The 25,789-nt window shown below is 39.6% G+C and overlaps 1 protein-coding gene across 6 annotated transcripts in view; it reads left to right on the top strand.

The window, feature by feature from the left end:
- SCAI (suppressor of cancer cell invasion) overlaps positions 1-25,789 on the top strand; it is a 200,921-nt gene that overhangs the window by 114,420 nt on the left and 60,712 nt on the right. For all 6 annotated transcript variants that reach the window (XR_007061282.1, XR_007061281.1, XR_007061283.1 and 3 more), the window contains 6 exons: positions 631-717; positions 2,199-2,297; positions 8,340-8,436; positions 9,904-10,002; positions 10,158-10,310; positions 25,539-25,640. Coding sequence is in view for 2 of the 6 variants with exons in the window: in NM_001144877.3 (NP_001138349.1) it covers positions 631-717; positions 2,199-2,297; positions 8,340-8,436; positions 9,904-10,002; positions 10,158-10,310; positions 25,539-25,640 (637 nt within the window). In the remaining 4 variants the exon portion in view is untranslated. The remainder of the gene's footprint in view (positions 1-630; positions 718-2,198; positions 2,298-8,339; positions 8,437-9,903; positions 10,003-10,157; positions 10,311-25,538; positions 25,641-25,789) is intronic.

Genomic DNA, 25,789 nt, shown 5'->3' with positions numbered 1-25,789 from the left:
TAATAAAATAAGGCTGGGTGCAGTGGCTCCTGTCTGTAATCCCAGCACTTTAGGAGTCTGAGGTGGGTGGATAACTTGAGGTTAGGAGTTCAAGACCAGCCTGGCTAACATGGTGAAACCCTGTCTCTACTAAAAATATAAAAATTAGTCGGGCATGGTGGTGCACACCTGTAATCCCAGCTATTCAGGAGACTGAGGCAGCAGAATTGCTGGAACCTGAGAGGCGGAGGTTGCAGTGAGCCCAGATCATGCCACTGTACTCCAGCCTGGGCAACAGAGCCACACTCTGTCTCAAAAAAGGAAAAAAAAGAGTAATGTTCTTGTCCGATTTTTAAAGACAATATTATATGTGGAATGGTTCAGATCAGCTAGAGCATAGGTAGGATGATTTATGGTTTCATTCTAAAATATATGTTTATTGGCCAAAGTAGTTTCTTTTTATATTTCAACTTATAAATAGACATTTAATAAATGCTTTTTAAATTTAATGGAATGACTACATTGAAATCTAATGAAAAATTCATTAGCTTTGCTGAATTGGATGGTATTTTATCCTATTGAATTTACAGATTTGATTAGTTTTGGAATTTATAGACTCATTTCTATTTTCTTGTATCCTATATAAAACAGACAAGTCTTGGATAATCGGTATGGCTTGAAGCGCTGGCAAATAGGAGAAATTGCTTCCAAGATTGGGCAGCTATACTATCATTATTAGTAAGTAAATTACACATGGAAAGAGTAAAGTGTTGTCTGATTAAAACACAGCATGCAGAAGTATACATACATAGTATACTCATTGCTAGGCATGAAAATCACGAGTTACAAATGAAACTCTAGTAGTTCGGACCAGATTGATCAAGACAATGTTGTGCAATAACCTTCCATAGTCAAAGTACTATTTGTTTTAAAGGCTTGCCTCCCAAACACTTCATTTGGTCAGACTCATTTATAACTTAAAAATTTGATCTTGGTTTTAGATAAACGATTAATACTAAAGGATTTATTGTTCTTGCAGCTTCACTTGTCTTAATAATGTGTAGCATTGTATTATAACTTGTATATGTGAATGAATGGTTTTCAGAAGGATACTTTAAAAAACTCATACTTGCAGGATATGTTTGAAAGATATTTTTTATTATATCCTTAGAGCACTAACATCTATATAGTCCCATCCCTGAGTTCAGAAAACAAGAAGGGTCCTTTTAGGAATCTAAATGTCATCATCCTGAAGTGATAATCAGGTATACAATAAAAAAGGCTTGGACCATTTGTAATCTAAAAGGCAATAAAATGGCTGGGCGTGGTGGCTCACGCCTGTAATCCTAGGACTTTGGGAGGCCAAGGCAGGTGGATCACCTGAGGTCAGGAGTTTGAGACCAGCCTAGTGAAACCCCGTCTCTACTAAAAAGACAAAAAAATTAGCCAAGTGTGGTGGCAGGTGCCTGTAATCCCAGCTACTTGGGAGGCTGAGGGAGGAAAATTGCTTGAACCTGGGAGGCAGAGGTTGCAGTGAGCCGAGATCATGCCATTGGCACTCCAGCCTGGGCAACAAGAGTGAAACTCTGTCTCAAAAAATAAAAAATTAGAAAAAAGAAAAGAAAAGAAAAGGCAATAAAACTTCTTCCATTTCCTACATTTTGGCATACCGCTCCAAATTCCCACCACTAAAATCACTCTCTTGGGTAGAATATTTTCTTAAAAAGTCCCTTGTAAAACTAGAAGTGTTTTCTCAGGTAGAAATGTTTTCTTAAAAAGTCCCTTGTAAAACATAATTCATTAACATCCCCTGAAGATTCGTATGGATTAGTGCATTCCTCAGTTCTGTGAGGACAGAAATTAAAGAAATGGGCCAAAGGACTGTATGGATTTGAGGAAGTGGCCTAGTCCTGGGAGAGGATTTCACTGGATGGAATGCTGTTTGGAGAGTCCCTTCAAAGAATGAGGATAATGTGTAATATGGGTTGGCATCAAAAAAGGCTTGGATGCAGCGAGGAGGTTTTTAAAAAAATTTCATTATTATTTTTTATACATTTTAAGGGTGATATGATTATTGTCTTGCCGATTCAAATTTAGGACAGTCATTCCCACCCCCGCACCCCGTGCCACAGAGGAATACAGCGGTATATAGAACAAGTATTTACCATGGTGAAGAGTCTCTGACACTGTCATATTTAAAAATATATTTTTTCTCATAGCTTACGCACATCGGAAACCAGCTATCTGAATGAGGCTTTTTCCTTCTATTCTGCAATCAGACAGAGATCATATTATTCTCAAGTCAATAAAGAGGACAGGTATGTATCTGCTATGTTTTTAGAAAGATGAGGATAAAACATTCAGTCTTAATCTTCGTAGAAATTGTGTGGAAAAGCATACATTTTTATAACGTGTACTCGTTTACCAGGCTTTATTGAGTGCCTGCTATGTAATAGACCTTCGAAAGCATAGAGAAGTTTATGTTACCTAAGCAATAAATATCAAAGATGTTTAACAGATGTCACAATGCCAAAGGAGGGTTGGGTTATTGTTTTACAAGAGATTGGCTTCACACAGATTTAATAGAAAAGAAATGACTCCAAAACAAGGCTTAGCTAATAACATTTATTCTTTAGCCTGTGTAATCTTAATTCATATCTCTTCAAAAGCCTGGTGACAACTGTCATGTAGGACCAGGGAATAGTCTGTTAATGCTGTTTGAATTTTCTCTCTCTTTTTTTTTTTTTTTGGAGGTGGAGTCTTGCTCTGTCGCCCAGGCTGGAGTGCAGTGGTGCGATCTCAACTCACTGCAACCTCCACCTCCACTTCCTGGGTTCAAGCAATTATCCTGCTTCAGCATCCCAAGTAGCTGGGATTACAGGCTTGTGTCACCACCCCCGGCTAATTTTTTTGTATTTTTTAGTAGAGATGGGGTTTCATCATGTTGGCCAGGCTGGTCTTCAACTCTTGACCTCAAGTGATCCACCCGCCTTGGCCTCCCAAAGTGCTGGGATTACAGGCGTGAGCCACCACACCCAGCCTGGATTGTGATTTGATTACTTCCAGATGAGTATGGAATTGTGGAAGAAATCAGAGATCTTCTGGAGAATCTTTCTTGTTAGTATTCTGGGAACTGTTGGATGAGAAAGTTCAGGCACAGAAGGTCTGAATATTCTCTCTACCCCAGCAACACAACTCACAGTTTTTATATGGTGAAAAGATTATATTCTCTTAGCAATAGAAGAAAACAGTTTTGACATGTTTTTCTCAAGAACACTTTGTGGTTGACTGTTGTAAGCTTTCCAACTAAACAGTGACATTTTGGGGAAAGCCCCACTCTTGTAAATCTCCTTAATTTCCTTGCATGTCTTGTTCAGACTTGTCTAGGGGCGTTTGCATGGCACATGTAAGGGGTGCAGATGCTGGAGTGTACATTTTTCATATCTTTTTGTCATCCCCTTACATCAGAAGTTCCATCAGTTACTTTTCCCTTAGGTTGTCCTATAGTTTGCTTCACATATTTTCACTACAGATATATTTCCTCCAACTCTAATTTTTAAAAAAATTCTTGGCGAGATAAATTATATCTTAAAAAATGCGAAAGAGCTGTATAACATTTTATCGGCATTAAAAATACATATAAGCAGAGAACTATTTTAAGTAATAGCAAAACACCTTGTATAATTTACTTTTCTGCATTTTCTAATTTGACAAAAGGGAAATTGGCTTTAACCTTAATACCCAACAGTTTGATTTATTGCCATAATTTTATGCCTTAATAACAAACATCAAATTTGAATTGTTTTCCTTTGCAGTTTTCTAGATCAGAGCATATTATTTAGAAGTAGGATTATTTGGAATCAGGATGACAAAAACTCTTGCTTTGTGCCAGTAAATTAGAATCAAAGGACAATCTGGTGTGCAAAACCTTGACCTTGCTGTGTGTAGTTAGGAGGGGCTTTGTTCAGTTTGTAGGTTGTTTCTTAGTTTACACAGGGTAAGAGTGCTAGTCAAGATTGCAATCAGCAACAGCTGCTAAAATCAAGAGCCAGGAGAGAAAACCAATAAGGAAGTATTCCACAATTTCACAGTTCATTTAAAAGGCAAAAATCTTCACTCCTCAAAAGGAACAAGTTCTCTCTGCACTGTCTTGACAGCTAAGGATTATGTCGAGACCAGGAGGAATAAGTAGTTTGTTCCAGCAACCTCAAGGTTAGTGTCTGTCACTAAGCATAGACCACTCCCAGAACATCTCATTCCATGGGTCCATCCTACCTAGGAGAGGAGATATTACATACAGCCACTCCTCCTAGGAGCTGCACACCCCAATTCTGTTGCAAATGGCCAAAGCTGAACCTGGTTGGATATGGAGAAGGTGAAGATTCTGAATACCCAAGAGGTTTTGTGGAGATGTTACGGTGAGCCACCTGGAAGAACAGAGTTTCCTAGGCAAATGTATAGTTAAAGAGTCAGTGTCTTGTAAGTAGGGAGCCTAGCAGGTTGGACAAGGCTAGAATTCTGGAGTCCAGAAGTTTGTTAAGAGCTTAAAAAAAATGGCCGGGTACAGTGGCTCACACCTATAATCCCAGCACTTTGGGAAGCCAAGGCAGGCGGATCATGAGGTCAGGAGATCGAGACCATCCTGGTTAACATGGTGAAACCCCGTCTCTACTAAAAATACAAAAAATTAGCCGGGCGTGGTGGCACGCGCCTGTAGTCCGAGCTACTCAGGAGGCTGAGGCATGAGAATCGCTTGAACCGGGGAGGCGGAGGTTGCAGTGAGCCAAGATGGCGCCACTGCACTCAGCCTGGGTGACAAAGTGAGACTCCGTCTCAAAAAAAAAAAAAAAAACTTCATAAAAAGCCTTCAATTTTACATTCATATTTCCCACTGGACAAAACTTGATACTGTCACCACTTATGTTGACGTTGACAACATGTCAACATGTCATTTATTGTTCAGAAGAAACAATAAAAGGTAGGGGGAAAGTGAATAATAAAATTATGATTATTACAATAGAAGGCAGGAAAGGAAAATAAACTCCAGTTATGTTGATGTCAACATAAGTGGTGACAGTATTTTTTTCAGTGGGAAATATGAATGTAAAATTGAAGGCTTTGGCACTGATGATAAAGAGGGCTTGATGTGGACCCTTGCAGTGAGTCACACTCTTTTTTCTGCAGTTTGATATGGAGTCAGTTGGTAGGCTAGGGGTTGTGGTTCAGGTTATCGGGCTTGATTGAGGTGGCCTCTTATGTATGAGTGGACAGCACTGACGCATTTAATCTGTGCTTTGCTGCAGTTCATCACAGTGGCTTCCAAAATAGAAAGCACCCACCCACTTCTGTATGCTTATTGAATATAAGGATCAGCTAACTATGGCCTGTTTGCATGCCAGATTGGGCCCATGGCCTGTTTTTGTACTGTGTGGCAGTTTAGAATTTTTCTTTTTTTTTTTTTACATTTTCAAAGGGTTGTAAAAAGGGAAAAGATGAATATGCTACAGGCACCAAATGTGGCCTGCAAAGCTTAAAATATTTACCATCTGGCCCTTTGTAGAAGGTTTGCTGGTTGTATAATCCATGATACAGATTCATAGAACCTATTTTTTAATCAAAAAAGTAACAGAATTAAGTCATTCATATTTCAAGTTTGAATTGACATCATCCTTCTACTAATTTTCTTTGTTTTGAATTCCACTTTCGACAATATGATAGGCTAGATAACCTGAAATACTAAACACCTAGAAATGCTGGATAAAATAGGACAATCATCCTTTTAAATGGAAAACTTAGTTGTCAAGAAAGTAAGGAAGTCCCTAGTTCATTTTCCCATGGCTGTGGTGACCTTGGAGGGTGGGGCAATTGGTTTGGGTGACATAAAAGAGCAAGGAAGAAGAAAATTGAAACTAGAAGGGGAAGGTATGATATACAAGAAGGATTGGTAAGAAAAAATTATCCCCTTGTATTCTAAAACATCGATTTGATGGGGCAGTAATCATCATAACAATGGCTGATTGACATTATTAAAATAAAATGGAGCCAAATCTAGATAACAATAATATGAAAGAAGAAAGGGGATAAAGAATTAAACCATTCTGATATCCATTTATTCTTCAGAAGAAACATAGAGTAAAGTTTACTTGTTAATATTTTCAGAAAACTATAATTAGAATGTGTAACTTCAGAAGAGGTAGAGGGGGAAAGTGAGTAACAAAATGATGATCATTACAATGAAAGGCAGGAAGGGAAAATAAACTCCAAAAAGTATAATTAGCACAAAATAATAAAATAGAAACAAATCCGAATCATGGTAAGTAAAAATGATCTAAACTTCCCTGTTAAAGACAAAGATTATCAGTATGCCTCTTAGAAAAACCCAATAATATACTGTTTTTAAGAGACTCTTCGAGGCCAAGAGCGGTGACTCACACCTGTTATCCCAACACTTTGGGTGGCTAAGATGGGAAGATTGCTTGCGGCCAGGAGTTCAAGACCAGCCTGGGAAACGTAGCAAGACCCGATTTCTACAAAAAATAAAAATAAAAAAATTACCCAGGCATGGTGGCACACACCTGCAATCCTAGTTACTCAGGAAGCTGAGGTGAGAGGATTGCTTGAGCCCAGGAGTTTGAGGCTGCAGTGATTTATGATGGTGCCACTGCACTTCAGCCTGGGAAATAGGGCAAGACTGTCTCTTTTAAATAAATAAACCCTTCAAAGATGTAAGGTAGACAGAGAAAGATAATGAGACAGCTACTATGGGGAAGAAATGTGTACGTGTATACGCATTTCTTATGTGTATACTGTGTGTATATTTAAAGGTAGAAAGTATTATTGAGAATAGAGGTTTACTCTGATGAAAGGAACAATTCAGGAAAATATAAAAATCATAAACTTATATATACCTAATAACGTAGCATTATGATAAAGCAAAGTGTTTTTTTAAAGTGGGGAAATTAATGATCTGATGTACATGGGAATTTTTGATATATGATATCTAATAATTTATATATCAAGACAAGAAATTATAAGATTTGAGTAACAAGTTTGTTCCAGTGTACCTAAAATTGTGTGCAACAGTATATATGTTATTTTCAAACTTATATGAAAATCTGTGAAATTAACTGATACTTGCCACAACACAAGTTTAATACAAGGTTCAATAAAGTGTGTGTTGTCTAACCATGGTACGATTTCATTAAAAACAAAAATAAAACATAATTTAAAAAAATCAGTAGCTGCATTTGCAGGCCAGCTACTCAGAAGGCTGAGGCAAGAGGATTCCTTGAACCCAGGAGTTCAAGTCCAGTTGGGCAACATAACAAGACTCCATCTCTTAAACAAAAAAAAAGTCAATAAGTTTGTCAATCAATAGACACATTTCTAAGTAACTCATGGGTCGAAAGAATTTTTTAAAAATTTTATTATGGAAAATGTTGAACATACACACAAAAAATACACTGTTGTAAGGCTATTATTTGTGATGTAGGATATGGAAAGCAGGAGGAAATGTCAGGTTTGAATTGATGATTGGTAAGTGTAAAGTGTTATGTGTGAACAGATAAAATATATTGTAAGGGCATTTGATAAGTTAAAGGATGCACGTTGTTACTCCTAGCAATCACTTAAAGAACAATAACAAAGAAGTAGTATAACTAGGAAGCCAATAGATGATATAAAATGGAACACTAAAAAATATTTGATTAACCGAAGAGAAAGCACAACAGGAACAACAGAGGAACATAGCAAGAGAAGGAGCAAGTAGGAAACAAATAGCAAGGTGGTAGATATAAACCTAGCCAAAGCAATAATGACATTAAATGTAATTGGTCTAAAAACATCAAGTAAAAGGCACAGAGATCATATTTTCCTGCCTGTAGTCTTCCACGCTTCGTTGTATTCTTAACTTAAACATTTATTACTTTCTTTAGGAAGCCTTTTCTCACCCAAGATCTAGTCCTGTGGGCACAAATAGCATTCTTTATTTCTCCTATCATTATATTATTCCGTTGTGTTGTAAGCATTTATCTCTCTCCTGTATATTTTAAGTTCTTTTCTGTCTGTAAGATCTTTGAAGAAGGGAATATCTCTAGTTTTTTACAACTGTGCTTTTAGCAATTAACAGTATCTGATGCATCTAAGTTCTCAATAAATACTTGTTAAATGAATGAATATATGAGTAAACAGCTTAATAAATCAGTAAGAAATATTTTAAAAAGACTATATGCTTATATGTGGGAATGTTTATAATTGTGCAGAAAAGGAGGGAAAGAGTTTTAAAAGCTATCAGAAAATTAAAAAAATCAAAAAGCATTCTTTTTTAATCTAATGAGTAATTTTTCATTTATCTTCCATAGACCTGAATTGGTAGTTAAGAAGTTACGATATTATGCAAGATTTATAGTAGTTTGTCTTCTTCTCAACAAAATGGATGTTGTAAAGGATCTGGTAAAGGTAAATACACTTTAAATAGTTCAAATTCTAATCTCTAGTTGTATATGGATGATCTTATTTTTAAAAAACAGATTTTAGGTTAAAATAATTTTGATATATCAATAATTACAATATTCAAAGTATAGTAACTTCTGACAAGGGTAATGATAAAAAAATTTTCCAACTCTTTTCATGTTACAAATACACTAATCTGAGATAATTATCTTGATTCCTTGCTTTTGTCCTTTCTGCATGTTTTACATTTCAAAGCCCATCAGTGGATGGCTGGGAATGCAAACAAACAAAAATTCTTAGTTTAAGAGAAAATAATTGAAATGTTATGTGAAGAAAAAGTACATAATGCTTTACAAAGGCCTTGCAAATGATTTTCATTTTCCCACCACTTTAGAGTGTCTGCATAAAGTCTCTCCTTCATTAACTGAGGTGATTAAGAGTTAACTGTCTTCAGACCCACTTAATACCTGTAATCATTGCATATTAAATTCTGATTGCATTCTGTATTCAATAGTTTCAATGGCATACTTAATTTTGTATCAAGTATAACATGCCAGTTGGTTTTTTGGGTTTTGTGGGGTTTTTTTTTTTTCTTTTTTTTTTTTTGAGACAAGGTCTCGCTCTGTCATCCAGCTGGAGTACAGTGGCATGATCTTGTCTCACTGCAACCTCTGCCTCCTGGGCTCAAGCAGTCCTCCCACCTTAGCCTCCTGAGTAGCTGGAATCATAGGCTCAAGCCACCACTCCTAGCTAATTTTTGTGTTTTTTGTAGAGACAGGGTTTCACCATGTTGCCCAGGCTGGTCTGAAACTCATGAGTTCAAGCAATCCGCCAGCCTCTGCCTCCCGAAGTGCTGGGATTACAGGCATGAGCCACCGTGCCCAGCTCAACATGCCAGTTTTGACAAGGCCACCAGAAGTAGCTCTCTGTTCTCCTTTTCTACCTTCCTTTATACCCAGTTACCATTAAAAATATTTCCAAAAACCATATAATACAAATCCAAATAAAGTCAGGAAGTATTTTTAGAAATATATAATTTTTTGTAGTGGTAGGGTCTCACTATGTTGCCTAGGCTGCTCTCGAAATCTTGGCCTCAAATGATCCTCCCACCTCGACCTCCCAAAGGGCTGGGATTACAGGTATGAGATACTGCATCCAGCCTCATTTTTTTTTATTGTTAAAATTTTTGAATTTCTCTTTTCTGATTCTTTCATTAATGAATTCATTGCTCATGTAGTACTGATAGGAAGTAGATCTCTGTAAAGACTTTATTTGATGGGTGTTATTCTGAAGTTTGTACTTTTGAAGAAAATTTATTAGTTTTCATCTTTGTTTTTTGTTATAATCAGGACTGTGTATTGCTAATAATCAAATTTTGTAAGTATGTCGGTTTCTGTCAGGAATATGGTTCTATATGGCTGTGTGTTTTTATGGGTTTTTTAATAACCTTTTTTGTGATGTTTTTAAAATCAGGAATTGTCAGATGAAATTGAAGATTATACTCACCGATTTAATACTGAAGATCAAGTGGAATGGAACTTGGTGCTTCAAGAAGTAGCAGCTTTCATTGAGGTCAGTTTTTGATAAGAAAAATCATAATTATTGATAAATAAATGACCGTGTAGTTTATGTTTTTATTGTGTGTATATGTCAAGAAGAAGGAATAGCTTACTCTATTGATATTTAGTCTTGGCCATTCGTTAAGTTCTTATTGCTTTTTTCTTTAGGCGGATCCTGTAATGGTATTAAATGATGATAATACCATTGTTATCACATCGAATCGCCTTGCTGAAACAGGAGCCCCATTGCTGGAACAGGGCATGATTGTGGGACAGTTGTCTCTGGCTGACGCACTCATTATTGGTAATTGTAATAATCAGGTAAAGAATTGTGAAGGAATTATGCTTAAAATTCACTGTGAAAAATAGTGCTATTGATGATCACAGAATTATTTTCTTATAAATATCCTAACATCCTCTTGTGAGGAAATTGCTGATTAAATTATGCTGTGTGCATATATGGAATATATTACAGATATTTAAATAGCTTAGAAAGAATTTTTAATAACATAGAAAGATACTCGTGATACAGTAAATGAAAATAAACTTGCCATGGAGCCAGGAAGCAGAATTATTTCATATATGTTAGAATGTCTATATGTATGCACACAGGAAAAAGACGAGGAAGAAATGTTACAACTATCTAAGTTTTATCTCCAAATAACCAAATTATAGGGGATTTTTATTTTATTTTTTACAACATTCTAAAGTTTCCAAAATTTCTGACCTGGCACAGTGGCTCACACCTGGAATCTCAGCACTTTGGGAAGCCCAGGTGGTTAGATCACTTGAGGTCAGGAGTTCAAGACCAGCCTGGCCAACATGACGAAGCCCCATCTCTACTACAGAATGCAAAAATTAGCCAGCCATGGTGGCATGCTCCTGTAATCCCAGCTACTCAGGAGGCTGAGGCAAGAGAATCACTTGAACCTGGGAGGCGGAGGTTGGAGTGAGCCAAGATCACACCACTGTACTCCAGCCTGGGTGACAGAGCGAGACTCTGTCTCAAAAATTAATAATAATAATAAAGTTTCCAAAATGTATATGTCCTACTTTCCAATCAAGCAAAAAGGGGCGAGGAGTTGGTGTTTTTTGTGTTTTGTTTTTTTTTGAGACAGAGTCTTGCTTTGTCACTCAGGTGGGAGTGCAGTGTCATGATTTTGGCTCACTGCAACCTCCATCTCCCAGGTTCAAGCGATTCTCCTGCCTCTCAGCCTCCCAAGTAGCTGGGATTACAGGCACATACCACCACACCCGGCTAATTTTTGTATATTTAGTAGAGATGGCATCATCATGTTGGCCAGGCTGGTCTTGAACTCCTGACCTCAAGTGATCCTCCTGCCTCAGCCTCCCAAAGTGTTGGGATTACAGGTGTGAGCCACCGCACTTGGCCAGGAGTTGTTTTTGGGTAAATTTGTCAAAAGTGAATTTCAAATGTTTTTTCATGACAGAGTAGCACCATGATGATGAGATTTAATGTACTAGAAATGAAATTTACTGGAAATTACACCAGTGAATACATTTTTCTAGATGTGTTTTTTATACAAGTTTAATTTTGGATCCTATCCTAGCATCTATCAATCACTTTTGTTATTGTTAAATTTTTCTGGTATTTCTCCATTTTTGGCTTTTATGACCATTATTTTGCAAATGTCTACAACGTTTTTGAAATTATAGTATGAATATACTAAATGGAAATATTTTGAAACATTTATGGTTTGTATAGTTATACTATCTTAAGGCTCGGTATTTTTCTCACTTTTTTTTAATTCAAAGAAAATTTTTCTAATCAGAAAAATATAAATTAAAACCAAATGAGATATCACCGAACTAGATGACTAAAAACAAAAGAGACCAAGAAACTGATAATAGCATATCCTGGCAACTAGTACAAGAACTGAATATTTCATACTATGTAGAAATAGAAATTGATAGATTTACTTTAGAAAAGTGTCAGGCATTATCTAGTACAGCTCCATATGTGCACACTCTATGACCAAGCATTTCCAGTATTTTCTTATTGATCTGTAAGAGTTCTGAATATATTCTACATGAAAGTCCTTTGTCAGATTTATGTGTTGAACTATCTTCTCCTACTCTTGTCTTGCCTTTTACTCTCTTCTGATATCTTCTGTCTCTTTTTCTCCTTTTCTTTAAACATCTGTTAAAATATTTATTAGTATCTACGCTATGCCAGACGCCCCTGTTCCAGATACTGAGATTCCAGTGAACAGAAGTCCTTAATTTTAATGTAGTCTAATTTATAATTTTTTTCCTTTCTGGTATTAGCTTTTTTGTGTCCTATTTTGAGAAATCATTGCTTACCTTACCTTTCATATTTAGATCTATGATATCTTTGGGATTTATTTTAGTGTGAAGTATGGGTCAGATTTTCTTTCTGGATTTCCAGTAGACCTAGCACCATTTACTAAAAAGACCATCTTTTCCCTGCCACACTGCAGTGTCACTTTTATCATAAATCTGATGTTCAAATATATTTGAGTCTCATTCTGTTCCTTTGGTCTGTTTGTCTATTATGCTGATACTTCTGACTTCATTATTATGGCATTTTAATAGGCCTCGATATATTGTAGTAAATGAAATACTGATTTTTTCTAATTTTTTCTCTTACATTGATTCTGATTCTTATTTCCTTCTTCCTATTTTGAATTTAATTTGCTTAGATAACTGACATTTATTTATTTATTTATTTATTTATTTATTTATTTATTGAGACAGAGTCTTGCTCTGTCTCCTAGGCTGGAGTGCAGTGGTGCAATCTCAGCTCACTGCAACTTCTGCCTCCCAGGTTCAAGCGATTCTCCTGCCTCAGCCTTCCTAGTAGATGGGACTACAGGTGTGTGCCACCACGCCCGGTTAATTTTTTGTATTTTTTTTTTGTATTTATTATTTTATTTTATTTTATTTTATTTTATTTTATTATACTTTAAGTTTTAGGGTACATGTGCACAATGTTCAGGTTAGTTACATATGTATACATGTGCCATGCTGGTGTGCTGCACCCATTAACTCGTCTTTTAGCATTCGGTATATCTCCTAAAGCTATCCCTCCCCCCTCCCCCCGCCCCACAACAGTCCCCAAAGTGTGATGTTCCCCTTCCTGTGTCCATGTGTTCTCATTGTTCAGTTCCCACCTATGAGTGAGAAGATGCGGTGTTTGGTTTTTTGTTCTTGCGATAGTTTACTGAGAATGATGATTTCCAATTTCATCCATGTCCCTACAAAGGACATGAACTCATCCTTTTTTATGGCCGCATAGTATTCCATGGTGTATATGTGCCACATTTTCTTAATCCAGTCTATCATTGTTGGATATTTGGGTTGATTCCAAGTCTTTGCTATTGTGAATAGTGCTGCAGTAGACATACGTGTGCATGTGTCTTTATAGCAGCATGATTTATAGTCCATTGGGTATATACCCAGTAATGGGATGGCTGGGTCAAATGGTATTTCTAGTTCTAGATCCCTGAGGAATCGCCACACTGACTTCCACAATGGTTGAACTAGTTTACAGTCCCACCAATAGTGTAAAAGTGTTCCTATTTCTCCACATCCTCTCCAGCACCTGTTTCCTGACTTTTTAATGATTGCCATTCTAACTGGTGTGAGATGGTATCTCATTGTGGTTTTGATTTGCATTTCTCTGATGGCTAGTGATGGTGAGCATTTTTTCATGTGTTTTTTGGCTGCATAAATGTCTTCTTTTGAGAAGTGTCTGTTCATGTCCTTCACCCGCTTTTTGATGGGGTTGTTTGTTTTTTTCTTGTAAATTTGTTTGAGTTCATTGTAGATTCTGGATATTAGCCCTTTGTCAGATGAGTAGGTTGCGAACATTTTCTCCCATCTTGTAGGTTGCCTGTTCATTCTGATGGTAGTTTCTTTTGCTGTGCAGAAGCTCTTTAGTTTAATTAGATCCCATTTGTCAATTTTGTCTTTTGTTCCCATTGCTTTTGGTGTTTTAGACATGAAGTCCTTGCCCATGCCTACGTACTGAATGGTAATGCCTAGGTTTTCTTCTAGGGTTTTTATGGTTTTAGATCTAACATTTAAGTCTTTAATCCATCTTGAATTAATTTTTGTATAAGGTGTAAGGAAGGGATCCAGTTTCAGCTTTCTACATATGGCTAGCCAGTTTTCCCAGCACCATTTATTAAATAGGGAATCCTTTCCCCATTGCTTGTTTGTCTCAGGTTTGTCAAAGATCAGATAGTTGTAGATACGTGGCGTTATTTCTGAGGGCTCTGTTCTGTTCCATTGATCTATGTCTCTGTTTTGGTACCAGTACCATGCTGTTTTGGTTACTGTAGCCTTGTAGTATAGTTTGAAGTCAGGTAGCGTGATGCCTCCAGCTTTGTTGTTTTGGCTTAGGATTGACTTGGCGATGCGGGCTCTTTTTTGGTTCCATATGAACTTTAAAATAGTTTTTTCCAATTCTGTGAAGAAAGTCATTGGTAGCTTGATGGGGATGGCATTGAATCTATAAATTACCTTGGGCAGTATGGCCATTTTCATGTTATTGATTCTTCCTACCCATGAGCATGGAATGTTCTTTCATTTGTTTGTATCCTCTTTTATTTCATTGAGCAGTGGTTTGTAGTTCTCCTTGAAGAGGTCCTTCACATCCCTTGTAAGTTGGATTCTTAGGTATTTTATTCTCTTTGAAGCAATTGTGAATGGGAGTTCACTCATGATTTGGCTCTCTGTTTCTCTGTTATTGGTGTATAAGAATGCTTGTGATTTTTGTACATTGATTTTTGTATCCTGAGACTTTTCTGAAGTTGCTTATCAGCTTAAGGAGATTTTGGGCTGAGACAATGGGGTTTTCTAGATATACAATCATGTCGTCTGCAAACAGGGACAATTTGACTTCCTCTTTTCCTAATTGAATACCCTTTATTTCCTTCTCCTGCATAATTGCCCTGGCCAGAACTTCCAACACTGTGTTGAATAGGAGTGGTGAGAGAGGGCATCCCTGTCTTGTGCCCGTTTTCAAAGGGAATGCTTCCAGTTTTTGCCCATTCAGTATGATATTGGCTGTGGGTTTGTCATAGATAGCTCTTATTATTTTGAGATACGTCCCATCAATACCTAATTTATTGAGAGTTTTTAGCATGAAGCGTTGTTGAATTTTGTCAAAGGCCTTTTCTGCATCTATTGAGATAATCATGTGGTTTTTGTCTTTGGTTCTATTTATATGCTGGATTACATTTATTGATTTGCATATATTGAACCAGCCTTGCATCCCAGGGATGAAGCCCACTTGATCATGGTGGATAAGCTTTTTGATGTGCTGCTGGATTCGGTTTGCCAGTATTTTATTGAGGATTTTTGCATTGATGTTCATCAAGGATATTGGTCTAAAATTCTCTTTTTTGGTTGTGTCTCTGCCCGGCTTTGGTATCAGGATGATGCTGGCCTCATAAAATGAGTTAGGGAGGATTCCCTCTTTTTCTATTGATTGGAATAGTTTCAGAAGGAATGGTACCAGTTCCTCTTGTACCTCTGGTAGCATTCGGCTGTGAATCCGTCTGGTCCTGGACTCTTTTTGGTTGGTAAGCTATTGATTATTGCCACAATTTCAGAGCCTGTTACTGGTCTATTCAGAGATTCAACTTCTTCCTGGTTTAGTCTTGGGAGGGTGTATGTGTTGAGGAATTTATCCATTTCTTCTAGATTTTCTAGTTTATTTGCGTAGAGGTGTATATAGTATTCTCTGATGGTAGTTTGTATTTCTGTGGGATCGGTGGTGATATCCCCTTTATCATTTTTTATTGCGTCTATTTGATTCTTCTCTCTTTTCTTCTTTATTAGTCTTGCTAGCAGTCTATCAATTTTGTTGATCCTTTCAAAAAACCAGCTCCTGGATTCATTAATTTTTTGAAGGGTTTTTTGTGTCTCTATTTCCTTCAGTTCTGCTCTGATTTTAGTTATTTCTTGCCTTCTGCTAGCTTTTGAATGTGTTTGCTCTCGCTTTTCTAGTTCTTTTAATTGTGATGTTAGGGTGTCAATTTTGGATCTTTCTTGCTTTCTCTTGTGGGCATTTAGTGCTATAAATTTCCCTCTACACACTGCTTTGAATGTGTCTCAGAGATTCTGGTATGTTGTGTCTTTGTTCTCGTTGGTTTCAAAGAACATCTTTATTTCTGCCTTCATTTCGTTATGTACCCAGTAGTCATTCAGGAGCAGGTTGTTCAGTTTCCATGTAGTTGAGTGGTTTTGAGTGAGTTTCTTAATCCTGAGTTCTAGTTTGATTGCACTGTGGTCTGAGAGATAGTTTGTTATAATTTCTGATCTTTTACGTTTGCTGAGGAGAGCTTTACTTCCAACTATGTGGTCAATTTTGGAATAGGTGTGGTGTGGTGCTGAAAAAAATGTATATTCAGTTGATTTGGGGTGGAGAGTTCTGTAGATGTCTATTAGGTCTGCTTGGTGCAGAGCTGAGTTCAATTCCTGGGTATCCTTGTTAACTTTCTGTCTCGTTGATCTGTCTAATGTTGACAGTGGGGTGTTAAAGTCACCCATTATTATTGTGTGGGAGTCTAAGTCTCTTTGTAGGTCACTCAGGACTTGCTTTATGAATCTGGGTGCTCTTGTATTGGGTGCATATATATTTAGGCTAGTTAGCTCTTGTTGAATCGATCCCTTTACCATTATGTAATGGCCTTCTTTATCTCTTTTGATCTTTGTTGGTTTAAAGTCTGTTTTATCAGAGACTAGGATTGCAACCCCTGCCTTTTTTTGTTTTCCATTTGCTTGGTAGATCTTCCTCCATCCTTTTATTTTGAGCCTATGTGTGTCTCTGCACGTGAGATGGGTTTCCTGAATACAGCACACTGGTGGGTCTGGACTCTTTATCCAGTTTGCCAGTCTGTGTCTTTTAATTGGAGCATTTAGTCCATTTACATTTAAAGTTAATATTGTTATGTGTGAATTTGATCCTGTCATTATGATGTTAGCTGGTTATTTTGCTCGTTAGTTGATGCAGTTTCTTCCTAGCCTCGATGGTCTTTGCAATTTGGCATGATTTTGCAGTGGCTAGTACCGGTTGTTCCTTTCCATGTTTAGTGCTTCCTTCAGGAGCTCTTGTAGGGCAGGCCTGGTGATGACAAAATCTCTCAGCATTTGCTTGTCTGTGAAGTATTTTATTTCTCCTTCACTTATCAAGCTTAGTTTGGCTGGATATGAAATTCTGGGTTGAAAATTCTTTTCTTTAAGAATGTTGAATATTGGCCCCCACTCTCTTCTGGCTTGTAGAGTTTCTGCCAAGACATCCGCTGTTAGTCTGATGGGCTTCCCTTTGTGGTAACCCGACCTTTCTATCTGGCTGCCCTTAACATTTCTTCCTTCATTTCAACTTTGGTGAATCTGACAATTATGTGTCCTGGAGTTGCTCTTCTCGAGGAATATCTTTGTGGCATTCTCTGTATTTCCTGAATCTGAATGTTGGCCTGCCTTGCTAGATTGGGGAAGTTCTCCTGGATAATATCCGCAGAGTGTTTTCCAACTTGGTTCCATTCTCCCTGTCACTTTCAGGTACACCAATCAGACGTAGATTTGGTCTTTTCACATAGTCCCATATTTCTTGGAGGCTTTGTTTGTTTCTTTTTATTCTTTTTTCTCTAAACTTCCCTTCTCGCTTCATTTCATTCATTTCATCTTTCATCACTGATACCCTTTCTTCCAGTTGATCGCATTGGCTCCTGAGGCTTCTGCATTCTTCACGTAGTTCTTGAGCCTTGGCTTTCAGCTCCATCAGCTCCTTTAAGCACTTCTCTGTATTGGTTATCCTAGTTATACATTAGTCTAAATTTTTTTCAAAGTTTTCAACTTCTTTGCCTTTGGTTTGAATTTCCTCCTGTAGCTTGGAGTAGTTTGATCGTCTGAAGCCTTCTTCTCTCAACTCGTCAAAGTCATTCTCCGTCCAGCTTTGTTCCGTTGCTGGTGAGGAGCTGCATTCCTTTGGCGGAGGAGAGGCGCTCTGCTTTTTAGAGTTTCCAGTTTTTCTGCTCTGTTTTTTCCCCATCTTTGTGGTTTTATCTACTTTTGGTCTTTGATGATGGGGATGTACAGATGGGTTTTTGGTGTGGATGCTGTTTCTGTTTGTTAGTTTTCCTTCTAACAGACAGGACCCTCAGCTGCAGGTCTGTTGGAGTTTGCTAGAGGTCCACTCCAGACCCTGTTTGCCTGGGTACCAGCAGTGGTGGCTGCAGAACAGCGGATTTTCGTGAACCGTGAATGCTGCTGTCTGATGTTCCCCTGGAAGTTTTGTCTCAGAGGAGTACCTGGCCATGTGAGGTGTCAGTCTGCCCCTACTTGGGGGGTGCCTCCCAGTTAGGCTGCTCAGGGGTCGGGGTCAGGGACCCACTTGAGGAGGCAGTCTGCCCGTTCTCAGATCTCAAGCTGCGTGCTGGGAGAACCACTGCTGTCTTCAAAGCTGTCAGACAGGGACATTTAAGTCTGCAGAGGTTACTGCTGTCTTTTTCTTTGTCTGTGCCCTGCCCCCAGAGGTGGAGCCTACAGAGGCAGGCAGGTCTCCTTGAGCCGTGGTAGGCTCGACCCAGTTCGAGCTTTCTGGCTGCTTTGTTTACCTAAGCAAGCCTGGGCAATGGCGGGTACCCCTCCCCCAGCCTCGCTGCTGCCTTGCAGTTTGATCTCAGACTGCTGTGCTAGCAATCAGCGAGACTCCGTGGGTGTAGGACCCTCCAAGCCATGTGCGGGATATAATCTCCTGGTGCACCGTTTTTTAAGCCCGTCGGAAAAGCGCAGTATTGGGGTGGAAGTGACCCAATTTTCCAGGTGCCATCTGTCACTCCTTTCTTTGACTAGGAAAGGGAACTCCCTGACCCCTTGCGCTTCCCGAGTGAGGCAATGCCTTGCCCTGCTTCGGCTCGCGCACGGTGCGCTGCACCCACTGTCCTGCGCCCACTGCGTGCTCCCTAGTGAGATGAACCCGGTACCTCAGATGGAAATGCAGAAATCACCCGTCTTCTGCGTCGCTTACCCTGGGAGCTGTAGGCCGGAGCTGTTCCTATTCGGCCATCTTGGCTCCTCCAATTTTTTGTATTTTTAGTAGAGACAGGGTTTCACCGTGTTAACCAGAATGGTCTTGGTCTCCTGACCTCGTGATCTGCGCACCTTGGCCTCCCAAAGTGCTGGGATTACAGGCGTGCCTCCTCGCCTGGCCAACTGACTTTATTTTTATTTTTGAGACAGAGTCTCACTCTGTCCCTCAGGCTGGAGTACAGTGGTGTGATCTTGACTCACTGCCACCTCTGGCTCCTGGGTTCTAGTGATTTTCCTGCCTCAGCCTCCTGAGTAGCTGGCATTACAGGCATGTGCCATCACAGTGGCCCAGCTAATTTTTGTATTTTTAGTAGAGACAGGGTTTCGCCATGTTGGCCAGGCTGGTCTCAAACTCCTAGCCTCAGGTGATCTGCCCCCAGCTTGGCCTCCCAAAGTGTTGGGATTACGGGTGTGAGCCACTATGCTCTTTTTCCTCTTCTAGTATAAAAATCCCTGGGCTGGGCGTGGTGACTCATGCCTTTGGGCATGGTGGCTCATGCACTTTGGGAGGCAAAGTGGGGCAGATCGCCTGAGGGTCAGGAGTTCTAGACCAGCCTGGCCAACATGGCAAAATCTGATCTCTACTTAAAATACAAAAATTAGTCAGGCATGATGGCATGTGCCTATAATTCCAGCTACTTGGGAGGCTGAGGCAGGAGAATTGCTTGGACCCAGGAGGTGGAGGCTGCAGTGAGCCCAGATTGCACCGCTGCACTGCAGCCTGGGCAACAGAAGAAGACTCCGTCTCTAAATAAATAAATAAAATAAAAATCCAAAGCTGTAAAATTCTCTTTAAGCATTACTTTAATTTTATTCTACATATTTTGATATTTTGTATTTTTTCCAATCCTGCTTCTTCTATAATATTTTATATTTTATATTTTCTTTCAGTTGAATGTATTTTCTTATTTCTTTTTTAACTCTTACTGACAGTATATTGCACATCTCCAACTTGAGTTTGATAATTTTTTTTCAGCACTTTGAAGATTTAATTTCATTATCTTCTCTCATTTCTGTTGAGAAATTGTCTGTTAGATTTATTAGTCACATATTATATCCACTTAAGGAAATGTTTCTTTCCTCTGTGTGTTTTTAAGATTTTCTCACTTTCTTTGATTCTTTGCAGTTTTACTATGTTATATTCAGGTGCAGTTTTCTTTATTTATCCTGCTTGAGGTTCACAGAGTTTCTTGAATCTATGGGTTTATGTCTTTCATCTATTTTGAAATATGGTTATTATGTCTCTGAGTATTGTTTCCCTTCTGTTCTTTCTCTGCTCCACTTCTAGGACTCAGTTACATGTTTGTAGACCCGTTCACAGTGCCACGTGTGTCTGTTATATTCTTTTCTGTATTTTTCATCATTTTTTCCTCTCTAGGTTTAAGTTAGGCTGTTTTCTGTTGACTTCTTTTCCATTTCACTAACCATATCTTCTGATGTGTTTAATCTGCTATTTAACCTTTTATTAAGTTTCATATTTCACATATTGTCTTTCTTAGCTCTGGATTTTTCCATTTGATTCTTGTTTTATAGATTAAATTTTTTTTTCCTAGCCTGGGCAGCATGATGAAACCCCATTTCTACAAAAAATACAAATATCAGGCCAGGCAGTGGCTCATGCCTGTAATCCCATTACTTTGGGAGGCCTAGCTGGGTAGATCACTTGAGGTTAGGAGTCCGAGACCAGCCTGGCCAACATGGTGAAACCCTGTCTCTACTAAAAATAAGCCAGGCATGGTGGCTTATGCTTTTGATCCCAGCTACTTGGGAGACTGAGGCAGGAGGATCACTTGAACTCTGGAGGCAGAGGTTGCAATGAGACAAATTCGTGCCACTGCACTCCAGCCTGGGTGACAGAGTGAGACTCTGTCTCAAAAAGAAAAAAATAAAGGGCCGGGCACGGTGGCTCACGCCTGTAATCCCTGAACTTTGGGAGGCCGAGGCGGGCGGATCACAAGGTCGGGAGATCGAGACCATCCTGGCTAACACGGTGAAACCCCGTCTCTACTAAAAATACAAAAAATTAGCCGGGCATGGTGGCGGGCGCCTGTAGTCCCAGCTACTCCGGAGGCTGAGGCAGGAGAATGGCGTGAACCCGGGAGGTGGAGCTTACGGTGAGCAGAGATCAGACCACTGCACTCCAGCCTGGGCGACAGAGCGAGACTCCGTCTCAAAAAAAAAAAGAAAAAGAAAAAGAACTAAAAAACAAACCTTAGCTGGATGTTGGTCATGTGCCTCTAGTCCCAGCTGCTTGGGAGACTGGGGTGGAAGAATCACTTGAGCCCGGGAAGTCAAGGCTGCAGTGAGCCATGATTGTGCCACACACTTCAGCCTGGGTGACAGAAGCAGACCCTGTCTTAAAAAAAATTTTTTTTTTTTCTTTTTAGAGACAGTATCTGGCTCTGTCATGCAGGTGGGAGTGCAGTGGCACAGTCATGGCTCACTGTAGCCTTGACCTCCCAGGCTGAAGTGATCTTCCTGCCTCAGCCTTCCAAAAATGTTTATGTTTTATAGAGATGGGGTGTTGCTGTATTGCCAAGGCTGGTCTCAAACTCCTGGCCTCAAGCAGTCCTTCTGCCCTAGCCTCCCAAATGTTGGGATTATAGGCATGAACCACGGCACCTGGCCCTTTTTTATTTTTTAGTAGATTTTAATTCTCTGGCAGAATTCTCTATTTCTTCATTTGTGTTCTACCATGTCTATTTTGTTGATCACACTTAGTAGTTATTTTAAAGTCCTTTTCTGCTAACTATACTCTCTAGTTATGCTAACTACAAGTGTGTTGGTCTGTTCTATTGCTTGTTTCTCACTTTTAAAATTATCATATTAATATTTATAATTACTATATATCTGATAATTTGCTTGCATATTAATTTATAATCAAATCCCCCAGCATTCTCTTTCTTTTCTTTTTGTTTTGAGACAGTCTTGCTCTGTCACCCAGGCTAGCATGCAGTGGCATGATCTCGGCTCACTGCATCTTCTGCCTCCCTGGTTCAGTTGATTCTCCCACCACAAACTCCCCAGTAGCCAGGACTACAGGCACGCCCTACGCGCCCAGCTAATTTTTGTATTTGTTAGTAGAGATGGGGTTTCACCATGTTGGCCAGGCTCGTCTCAAACTCCTGACCTTAGGTGATTCACCTGCCTCAGTCTCCCAAAGTGCTGGGATTACAGGTGCGAGCCAGCACACCTGGCCTCAGTTTTTACATTTCATTTATTGTATTTTTTATTTTTAAAAGTATAGGTCAGGTGCAGTGGCTCACACCTGTAATCCCCACACTGTGGGAGGCCGAGGCGGGCAGATTACGAGGTCAGGAGTTCAATACCAGCCTGACCAATATGGTGAAACCCCATCTCTACTAAAAATACAAAAATTAGCCGGGCGTGGTGGCGTGCGCCTGTAGTCCTAGCTACTCAGGAGGCTGAGGCAGGAGAATCACTTGAACCCGGGAGGCAGAGGTTGCAGTGAGCCGAGATCGCGCCACTGCACTCCAGCCTGGGTGACAGAGCGAGACTCCGTCTCAAATGAATGAATGAATGAATGAATGAATGTATTAGGTTATTTTCTACATATTCCTTTGATTGGCTTAATCATGATTTTAATTACTTCTTCTATTTAAGCATATGAAACTAACTTTTTTTCTTTTAAGAGACCGGGGATGGGGGTGTGCATCTCACTATGTTGCCCCTTCTTTAATCCCCGCCTCTTGGCTGGTCTCCAGCTCCTGGCCTCAAATGATCCTCCCACCTTGGCCCTCCAAAGTGCTGGGATTACAGGTGTGAGCTGCCACACCTAGACTTTTGCATGTTATGTATGATGTTTGTATCATCCTGTTTCTGTTTGCTGAATCAGGCGTGCCTTTTTTCTTCATGCGTTTTATGATTTTTGTTTCTGAGTCTTCTTTGATGTAATTCTGTCAGCTAGAATTCTGTAAGACCTGAATTGAGGATGCCTTCTTCCAACGAAGATCTGCATTGCTTTTTCCCTCAAAACTTGGGGGCAGTATCAGTTTTTGTTCTTTTTAAGTGAAAAACCTTATAGATTTTTCAGCCATGCAAATAATGTTAATTCAGATTCTCAAACCACATGAGAATCAGCATATGGCCGTGAATTCTTGGGGGAGACTTTTCTTGATCTCTTCTCAGAACAAAGGCTAAGGTAGAGTTTCCTTCATGTTTATGTCTCTGGAGCAGATTTGTTTCTAGTGTTCTCCTCTGAGGCCATATCTTTTTGTGCATCCAGTTTTATTTGGGCATAGGTGTATGTGTGGGAGGGGCCATCTTCCAACCAACCAACCAGTTCTTAGCCAGGAGGCCCATGCTACCCTTACTACAGGAAAACAAGGCATTAGTGCCCACTTATCTCCTTAAACCTCTTCCCCTTCTTTAATCCCCGTCTCTTGGCTGGGCGCAGTGGCTCATGCCTGTAATCCCAGCACTTTGGGAGGCCGAGGCAGGTGGGTCATCTGAGGTCAGGAGTTCAAGACCAGCCTGACCAACATGGTGAAACCCCGCCTCTACTAAAAATACAAAATTAGCTGGGCATGGTGGCACATGCCTGTAATCCCAGCTACTCAGGATGCTGAGGCAAGAGAATCACTTGAACGTGGGAGGCGGAGGTTGCAGTGAGCCGAGATTGCGCCGTTGCACTCCAGCCTGAGTGACAGAGCGAAACTCACATACATACACACACACGTATATTAAATGAGTTAAATGTTTGAAAGTGTAGTTAGTAATCTTCATAAACTTATTCTCATCTTAACTAAATAATTCCTCTTCTTTTATTTGATAGAAACATGTTCTTTAAAAAATTCTCATCTGTTTTATTATCATGTGTGTTCCTGAAGTTCTATATAAGTATTACTGAAATTGGAAAAGGATATAGACTTAAATATTGTGTAGTGCCAAAATGTATGGAAGAAATTACTATAAAATATGGATCATAGGCTGGGCGCGGTAGCTCATGCCTGTGATCCCAGCCCTTTGGGAGGCTGAGGCAGGAGGATCATCTGAGGTCGGGAGTTCAAGACCAGCCTGACCAACATGGAGAAACCCCATCTCTACTAAAAATACAAAATTAGCCTGGTGTGGTGGCGCATGCCCATAATCCCAGCTACTCTGGAGGCTGAGGCAGGAGAATCGTTTGAACCCGGGAGGAGGAGGTTGCAGTGAGCCGAGAGCGCGCCATTGCACTCCAGCCTGGGTGACGAGAATGAAACTCCATCTCAAAAAAAAAAAAAAAAAAAAAAAAAATATATATATATATATATATATATATATATATATATATATATATATGGATCACAGTTGTATTTCAGCATAGCTAATTCATCAAAAGTTAGCTCTTTTTTCTCATGTAGCAAGGATTACTATCAAACTTCTGTGTATAGAATTCGGGCTGAAAAGTCAGGAATCGTGGCTTATGCCTGTATTCCTAGCACTTTGGGAGGCTGAGGTGGGCAGATGACTTGAGGTCAGGAGTTTGAGACCAGCCTGGCCAACATGGTGAAACCCCATCTCTGTTAAAAATACAAAAATTAGCCAGGTGTTTTGGCACACGCCTGTAATCCCAGCTACTCCAGAGACTGAGGCAGGAGAATCGTTTGAACACGGGAGGCAGATGTTGCAGTGAGCTGAGATTGTGCCACTGCACTCCAGCCTGGGCAACAGAGCAAGACTCTGTCTCAAAAAAAAAAAAAAAAAGAATTTGGGCTGGAGATCCTTGTGGTGTTAGTGAAAAACTTGCCCCTCACATAGCACACTACCTACACGTGTGAATTCATCCACCAGTCTGTGGAGGTTAACATGTTTGTAGAACCTAATATAGTCTCTGTGCTGCTGCTGCTTTATTTTTTTTGAGACAGAGTCTTTCTCTGTTACCCAGGCTGGAATACGATGGTGCGATTTCGGTTCATTGCAACCTCCGCCTCCTGGGTTCAAGCGATTCTTCTGCCTCAGCCTCCTATGTAGCTGGGATTACAGGCATCCACCACCACACCCGGCTAATTTTTGTATTTTTAGTAGAGATGGGGTTTCACCATGTTGGCCAGGCTGGTCTCGAACTCCTGACCTCAGGTGATCCACCTGCCTTGGCCTCCCAAAGTGCTGGGATTATAGGCGTGAGTCACCATGCATGGCCCCCTGTGTTTCTGTAACTACTTAAAAAAACAAAACCTGAGGAAGTTTATTGATTAGTAAACATGTATATGGCTGGAGAGGTATGTGAAAAAGCAAATATAAAAAATGCTTATTATAGGATCTAGATGATGAACATATGGATGTCACTGTAGAATTCTTCCAGTCTTTCCATCGCTTGAAAATTTCTGTAACGAAATATTAGAGAAAAAGGTACCCAAAGCCCTGAAGTACATGTGAAAGTCACAACTAGTAACGTGATAAAAGTCTTTAAAGTCTGCGTGTTGCATTAAGGCTAGGTTGTGTTTGTTTTTTTTTTTCTTGCAGGTTAAGTTCAGTGAACTAACTGTTGACATGTTCCGGATGTTACAAGCTCTGGAAAGGGAGCCAATGAATTTAGCTTCCCAGATGAATAAACCAGGAATGCAGGTAATCTCCTCTTTTACATTTGCAAGTTTGGTAACCCTCTGGCTGCGTCTCTCCTGTTGGAACGCTGATTATTCAACAGATACTACAGCCTTGAATAAAGAATTCACTTGATGAGACATGGAGAAATAGATCATCACAGTAAGACTGAG

The sequence above is a fragment of the Homo sapiens genome, chromosome 9 (genome assembly GCF_000001405.40).
Source record: "Homo sapiens chromosome 9, GRCh38.p14 Primary Assembly".
In the NCBI taxonomy this organism is placed as follows: domain Eukaryota; kingdom Metazoa; phylum Chordata; class Mammalia; order Primates; family Hominidae; genus Homo; species Homo sapiens.
This window is presented reverse-complemented; position numbering and strand designations above follow the sequence as displayed.